Raw genomic sequence first — 8,067 nt, 5'->3', positions numbered from 1 at the left:
TTCCCTATTTTACAGATAAGAAAGCTAAAAATCAGAATGAGAGGTTTCTAATCATGCATTACAAAGCAGAAGATTGACTCGGAAGTCAGTGCTCTTAAATCCTATATTTTATCACCTCCAAAGTAAAGTCATTTGGGTCTTGGATAGTCCAAACAACAAACTTAAAAACTCTACTCTTCCTTTCAAGTTATGGCCCACTATAGACACAACTTATTTGCTTTATCTTTGACGACCAAACATCTCTAATTCCAATTTATTTTATTGCTATTTTGCCCTTGCAACCCATTTGAGTTCCTTCTTACATGACATTTTAGCATTTTTTTAAATGTTGGGTCTTTTAGGTTGGTTTTGCTCTTTATTAGACTTGTACAGTTTTGCTGATTGACTAGTGATTTCGTTTATCATTTAACCTACAATTAATCTTTTTTTCTTTGGTGATATTTATTCCTTTGCCCTGTTTTTTAAACTGCTTTCAATTTTCAGATGTTTTGTTAGATCTATTTAGAGCTTCATCACCATGGCAATATGTATTTTTCTTAAAACACTGCAAACAAATATAGTAGGAGTGCACCCTTTTAATCTTTACCAGTTACTGTGAGATTGTTGTGTAAGCTAATTTACACATTTGTAAATACGTTACTTTCAGGAAGAAAACTGAGACACAGCTCAGGAAAAGCCTGCTGAATTTCTATTGTAAGCATTACTTCACACAGTTGTATTAGTCCGTTTTCACCCTGCTTTTAAAGACCTACCCCAGACTGGGCAATTTACAAAAGAAAGAGGTTTATTGGACTTAACAGTTCCACATGGGTGGGGAGGCCTCACAATCATGGCGGAAGGCAAGGAGGAGCAAGTCACATCTCAAGCAGATGGCAGCAGGCAAAAAATGAGCTTGCTCACCGAGACTCCCATTTTTAAAACCATCAGATCTTGTAAGACCCATTCACTATCACGAGAACAGCACGGGAAAGACCCGCCCCGTGATTCAATCACCTCTCACGGGGCCCCTCCCACAACACGTGGAAATTATGGGAGCTGCAAGATGAGGTTTAGATGGGGACACAGAGTCAAACTATATCAACAGTATAAAGATGAAAAGACAACAAAAATATCTTCATACTTCCTTATCCCCTCATTGCAATAAAACCCTTAACTGGAAGAAACGGTCCACTTTTTTTCCTCTTCCTCCTACACTTCCCACTTATTGTCACCTTGTAATATTCAGAGAGCACTTGAATTAAGGATCTGGATAAGGAGATGCTTTCGGGTAATCATTAGCCCACGTACCCGTAACTTATACTTAAAGAGGGGATGGCATTTGTAAAGTGCTTTTCTAATGCAGTATTATTGTTAAAGGCAAGGGTGGACTCTGTTTTATTTTGACATGGCATGTCTTGAAATAAATATCAATTCAATATGAAAAAAAGACATTTAGAAAATTATAACCTAAATTTTCTTATTTTGATTTATTTATTTTCAGTTGCTATCTGCCCTCTGTAGAAATGTAAAAGCATCTAGGTGAGAACTTACCAAATGTGATAATTCCTTAGCTTTAATGAATCTGGGCTCAGAATCTACTGCTGTGCATAATCAGTCATTTTCCCTTTTGGACAAATTATCTCAGTGCTTTGAGCTCACTCCCCTCATCTGTGAGAGGGACACAGGGAAGCCTGTCGGAGTTCCTTTGAGGGTGAAATAAAAGAGTCTCCATGAATTCATGTGGAGATGCTCTATAAACATTTGTCTTTTCTTTCAAGAACAGTCGTTCTTCTCTTTTCTATAAACATATCAACCTTTTCCCTTCTCCGAGATATGTCATTACGTTTTCTTTTTACTCTTCACCTGGTAGTCACTTGAAGCTATTTCTAGAAAATATGTAGGCACATCTTTTTTTTTGTATGTATCAAACTATGTAAAAATGATTATCAATTCCATTTTAACAAATCTTTGAAAATTATTTGGGCCAGTTAAAGTATTATTTATTGATAAATTTCTCTGTTGGTTTACTTTTGAACTTTGAAGTGAACTACATTATGATATAGATATATCTACTAATAGAATATTCTATTTTTCTTTATCCAACTTTCTCCATGGGCTGTGAACAAAATATATAATCAGTTTTAGAATACAATGTGTCAGTAACTTTCACAACGGCTGCAGTCTTTTATTTGTTTTTCAATCTCCATGTAGCAGCAGCTGTAGGGCAGGAGATGCAGGATATTTTAGTTCTTTATTGTATTTTCCCTACTGTTCATTATCTTATATTTTCTTTATATTTGATAAACATGTGGCTTGAAAATATTTACCTCAAATCAAAGATGATAATCTGATGTGTATGCATTGGGGGATTTAGATTTCCTAACCCCTCATGAACATATGAACATGTGAACTATTTCTGTTGATTATTTTTCTTTGTGGATAATATATAAGTTTGATGGCCTCTCTACATCCAGGTCTGCCTGAAGAAATGGGACTTGGAAGGAAGAGGACAAAGGCATCTGAGAAATGTAGAAACAGCATGAAATCCAGGGATTTAACCTCTTAAGCTACCAAATACATTCCCAGTTCCTAAGAGAGAAATCCATAAGCCTTTTAGCTGCTTGGAAGCCCATGGGGCACAGCCTGATGTTGCCTTGTCCCAGCCTTGTCCTCGGCTCCACTCTGTACTAATCCCTGTCATCTCCTCTCCCTTGCAGGCGATTCTGCTAATCTGAGCCATCTGTGCATCTTGATCACAAGGAAGATACCACCCTAAGCCTCCAAGGCCAGTTGGCCAAACAGAGATTTGGCCACTCCTCCAGGAAGAGGTTTCTCACTATGTCAGACGCATCTCTGTCAGAAGCCCTTGCAAACAGTCAAACCATTTTGTACTATCATTTCTGATACGCAGCTCAAGAGGCACCATGGGTACAATCACATCTGACATAATATAGCTGCTAGAACACTTGGCCTGGCAGTTTTAGAAAGGGACTTTCATGATTAAAACACTCTTTCTCAGGGCAGCATCTGCGATGCCACCTACATCTTTTGCCTGAGGGATTCCCAGAGGGTCAATATCACCTCCTTTTCCCTTCTTTTGCTAACTCAGTGAAGAAAGAGCAAAGATGAGTGAGTCAGAGCTTGGGATAAATTATTACACATATGTCTGTGCATGTTTGCATCTGAGAATAAATGAAAGAAAAATTAACCTGTTGTTTCGCTGTGAAAGTTATATTATTAATTGGTTCCCTACAATGTGTTTTAGCTAAAAAGTAATAACTCATCATTAGGGTGCTGCCCAAGGGTATTACGCTACCATGGAAACAGCCCGTAAGAAAAGACAATCTTTCATTTTCCCTCAGAGGTACCATTTCATTAGATGTTGTAATAGAACATTCAACATTTGGACAGGTAAGGAAATATATGTGCTCAATGTATACTTACATGTGCATACATATATACGTATATGTAAGTATACATTGTATGCTGTGTGTTATTATACACACACACACACACACACACCATTAACTGGTAGACTGTCCCTATTAAAGCATCTTCCCTCAGATGCAGTTATCCAAGTAAACTCCTCTGGTTCTTATCTCCCAATAGCAAAGAAGCCATCACATCACGGGTTCCCGCTGCAGGATGTCAGCAGATCAGAGGCTGGGAGGGGCCTGCGTCTTCTGAATTCCCTTCCATTTTAAGTCAGAAGGAACCTACATCTACAGGCTTCCTGGGTGTGGAGCCCGAGTTAATCATTTCAGTGCAGTGCTTGGCGCAGCTCTATGAGGGCGCCGTTCCAGGTTCTGAAGATTCACCAGGTATTGAATAAGAAACAGGTATTGAATAAGAACATGATCGTCAAAGAAGTCATTTCCGAGAGCCTTGTGTGGGATGAAGGAGATCAGCAGGGTGACAGGATAGAGTGTCAGCAGTGAGAGGGGGCAGGGAAGGAGATTAAGTGGTCAGAGAAAATCTCTCTGAAGAGAGAGTATTTGAACAGAGACTAAAGGAAGACAGAGAGCCAGAAGTCCTGAAAATTCTCTGAGGAAGATTATTTCAGCAGAGGAAAGTGAAAGGGTGAAGGTTACCTCTGAAAAAAAATAAATAATCTCTTTTTCCCAGAAAACAGTCAGCCAATGTGGCTAGAGAGAGGTGAGTGGGAGAAAGGGAAGGAAGCATGTGGTCTGGCCTTGTGGGGCCCCATGGCCTGTGGTCAGCAGCTTGGATTTGTTCTAAATGCAATAGGAAGCTATTGGAGGGTATTAAACAGAAGAAAAACTGGTCTGATCTGATTTGTTAAAAGACTACATCAATCTGTGGAAGCCCCTGTGTTTGGGGCTCATTTTGAAGCGTCCTCCCTTGACATCCTTACGTGTTTGTTCCTCTCCTTAAGGCCTGGTCATACCAAGCAGTCATCATGTCCTAGACAGAGAAACCTAGGTCACCTTTAGCATCAAAAAGCACCCCTCATATCCATGGTTTGTTATGTTTTCAAAATAACGAAGCAGTAATGCATGAAGTTGATATGTTACAAAAGAGTTCAACCTCAGCCTTTTCTTTTTTTTTATTTTGCACTTAAAAAAATACTTAATGCTACAATTACCCATGCTTTTTTGATCATTGTGCACTTTTTAATTAAGAAAGTATATCAAACATAAAAAGACATTGGGTCAAAACAGCTAAGCAATCTGTGCTTACTTGGGATGGAAACAATTTTAATTGATGCAATTTGCAGCCATTTAAATATTTCATATTTGGTTATTAACACTGCAGGGAAAGTGGGCACTTCATGCTGACAGACCAATGGAAAGAGAATTGCTGGTTTTGTAATTTTCACTTGCTCAGGTCTAATTTGGCTTGGGGTTCGCTGAGAGTTGTGTAGGTCAGGTGAACGCTAGGTCCTCAAAAGACAGAGGTCAGAGGACTGGAAAGTGATATTTCATATTTGAACCTGGTCATTAGCACTAGAAAGGCAATGTAGCTGTGATTTTGTAAAAGCTGTTTCTTCCTTAATACTGTGTGAAAAATCTTTCAAATAAGTACTGTAGCTTAGCGCCGAGATTTTATGATGCCTGCTGCAGGAGATGTGGGTGAATGCACTCAATCAGCTGTTTAATTAGACGGCCCTGGCTAGCAAAGAGATTGCCTGTTGAGTTAAGCATTTCCTGATTTTATTCCTTGTCTCCAGCTCACAGTGGAGTCTGTGGTGCTTTCTGATTTACATCGGTCTGAATTCCTCCTTTGGGGACTGGACGAAAAAGGTAGAGGAGGAATAAAACAGGGAGTATAGAAATGAATTGCTCATTCACCTGTTGACATCCACTATGGACAACATTTTTTTAAAAAAATTAAACAAGAATAGGAAAGACTCTAGTTCATAGTAGGAGGAGCATCCTGGGAGCTAAGGTATTCCTTCTATCACAGACAGTTCCAGAGGGACTGTGGAGCCCTTTGGGGCAATTTGACCAAGTGTCTGTTTCATCTGCACACAAAAGTTAAAGAACAGGGAACTGGATGAGACCATACAGACCTCTTTTAAGGACATTTTCCAAAAAAAACCATTGTGTGGAAAAAATTCTGTCAAGCCTGCAAAAGTTGTTAGATCTCTATGCCCATCTATCTCTCTTTTCCAACACCGACTTATTAGGAAGAGAAACAAAAGCAGCTGCCAGGAGCTGAAGCAAACAGAAGCTTCCCTATAAACATGAGTTCTCATAAAAGCACAAATGAAATGAATGAAATGGAGGGCAGAGGCAGGGAGTTTCATTTTTCATTAGACTCTCGTCATGTGAGTGCTTTTTTTTCCACAAGTGTCCTCGTCATTGGACTCTCAAAGACCTAACATCTAGTTAGTTCTAACCACATCTGTTCAGAGCAGAGAGAAGGTCCCAACACATTTAGGCCACTGCTGATGGCTTCTGACTGGAATCCCAATGGACTTGGATTTGAATGTTGCTTGAGTGCAGTACGTTGTGTGGAAATGATATTTTCAATGTCTTTCTTCCAAATCCAGTGGTTGAAGGCTTTAGGGGAAAAATCAGGAGAAATGCTTTGGGTTCTTACCACTATCTAGTAGAAGACAATAGTTACATCTTGAATGCATATCAAAAGGGTGCTCTTTCAAAGATCAGCTATGGCACTTGTATAAGATACCTTTAGTGCCATACATAATATGAGACCGGCTCTGAGGACACAAAGTTTGTCAGAATATATGGCTAGGAGGAATTTTGTACAAATCTATTGCTACATCTGGATTTCCTTTGAAAATGAATATTTAAAGGTTATAGTTTACTTAAGATTTTTTGCTTGATATCTTGTTTAATTAAAGCCTCAAGAAATTTACTTTTGCTTTTTAATAGGAGACTTTTAACTACTTTTTCTCACACATGTAATTTCTTGCCTGTTATTTTTCCATTCCTATTTAGGAAACATATGGAAGTCTAGTTTTTTTCTAAAAGTGAAATCTGCAGAACTGAGGTCATTTTTTGGAACTACCTGGAGTGAATGCAAAAATTGTGAGATGCTCTGGGGAAACTGTCTAGATGTATCAAGTGTGACTGTTAGGGAACATCTGGCCTCATGAAGCCAACACACCCACACCCACAATTTATTCAGAAACTAATTATTACCCTACATAATCTTAAAAATGCTTATGTGGGATAAAAGTTTGGACTCAAGTCTTGTAATTTTATAAGATCATCTATAGAAGAACCAGAACATTCAATGATGGCCCAATATCTAATCCCAAAGGATGATTTTTGGATAAAGAACCCTCACTAAGGCTAGAGTCACTCAATGAACACTTATGCAGAACAATATATCACTTCAAAGTCATGGTGAGCTTGCAAATAAATTGTTAAATGTTTCTGGAATGTCCATATCACCTGGCCACTGCAGAACCAAAGTGTGGCTACATCAATTAGTATCTGGGTTTGTCAAGACCGGCCATTGCTAAAGCTGGTTTCCAGGTCATCCTCATCTTCCAATTTAATTAAGTTAAGTATAACTTAATTCAGCAGAATTGTAGTAGGTGCATGTAACTATGCTAGTAGAGACTATGGGATGCAATGCAGGGATGGTCCCTGCATTGGGTGACTTTAAGAGAGATGGAACATAGTAGACATGAAGGGAAATGGAAGGACTCTAAACTAAAAGAAGGCAGGCTAAGTATGCATTTTCTCATTTTATCCATATGAGTTGCCTCATGAGTTGTGACACTGTGTCACCTCCTTTCTACAAACAAACAAAAAAGAGGTACAGAGAATTTAACTCTCCCAAAGGTCTGTAGCTACGAAGTATCCAAGATGATTCAAATCTGGGTGGATCTAATTCAAAGCTTGTGCTCACCATGACTGCTACTTGACAGTCACTGAGCTACCCACCCTAACAGGGTCTGAATGGGGGAAGGTAGCCTCTGAGCAAGTCCGGGTCAGGCCAGGGCTATGAGTTGATAGTTTAGAAAGCTGGTATTCCTCAGGAAAGGTGATGGTATTCCTTGGTAACAAATTAACCTCCAAATCTCAAAAACTAGAACAACCAGGGTCTATTTCTTGCTCACACAAAGTAAGGCACATGTCAGGTGACTCTCCAGGGTATGTTTTCACGTTGCAGCTCTACCATCTCAACAGGTAGCCTCCACCACTAATGTGGTAGGGAAGAGAAGGGGCATAGAATACTCAGATCCATTTTTAATTTCCTCTGAAGGGAGATGACTCCCCTCACTTCTACTCAGGGTTTGTTGGCTTGATGCTATGGTTTGGATATCCCCTCCAAAATACATGTCAAAACATAATCCCCTTTGTGGCAATATTGAGGGAATGAGCCTTTAAGAAGTAATGGGGTCATAAGGGATCTGCATTTATGAATGGATTAACCCATTCATAGATTAATGGTTTGATAGGTTAATGAATTAATGGGTTATCATGGGAGTGGGACTGGTGCCTTTATAAGAAGAGGAAGAGAGACCTGAGCTGGCACATTAGCACAGTGCTCTCACCATGCAATGCCCTGTGCTGCTTCAGGACTCTTCAGAGTCCCCACTGGCAAGAAGTCTCTCACCTGATTCAATCCCTCGACCTTAGACCT

General features: G+C 39.4%; 1 annotated feature.

The window, feature by feature from the left end:
- Nucleotides 456-1,065: an enhancer, noted in NCBI's record as "OCT4-NANOG hESC enhancer chr1:232388396-232389005 (GRCh37/hg19 assembly coordinates)". NCBI's record gives its function as "activates a minimal SCP1, AML or CMV promoter by ChIP-STARR-seq in naive and primed H9 embryonic stem cells {active_cell/tissue: H9 hESC(naive and primed)}" and the evidence as "EXISTENCE:reporter gene assay evidence [ECO:0000049][PMID:30033119]".

Source organism: Homo sapiens, chromosome 1 (assembly GCF_000001405.40).
Source record: "Homo sapiens chromosome 1, GRCh38.p14 Primary Assembly".
In the NCBI taxonomy this organism is placed as follows: domain Eukaryota; kingdom Metazoa; phylum Chordata; class Mammalia; order Primates; family Hominidae; genus Homo; species Homo sapiens.
This window is presented reverse-complemented; position numbering and strand designations above follow the sequence as displayed.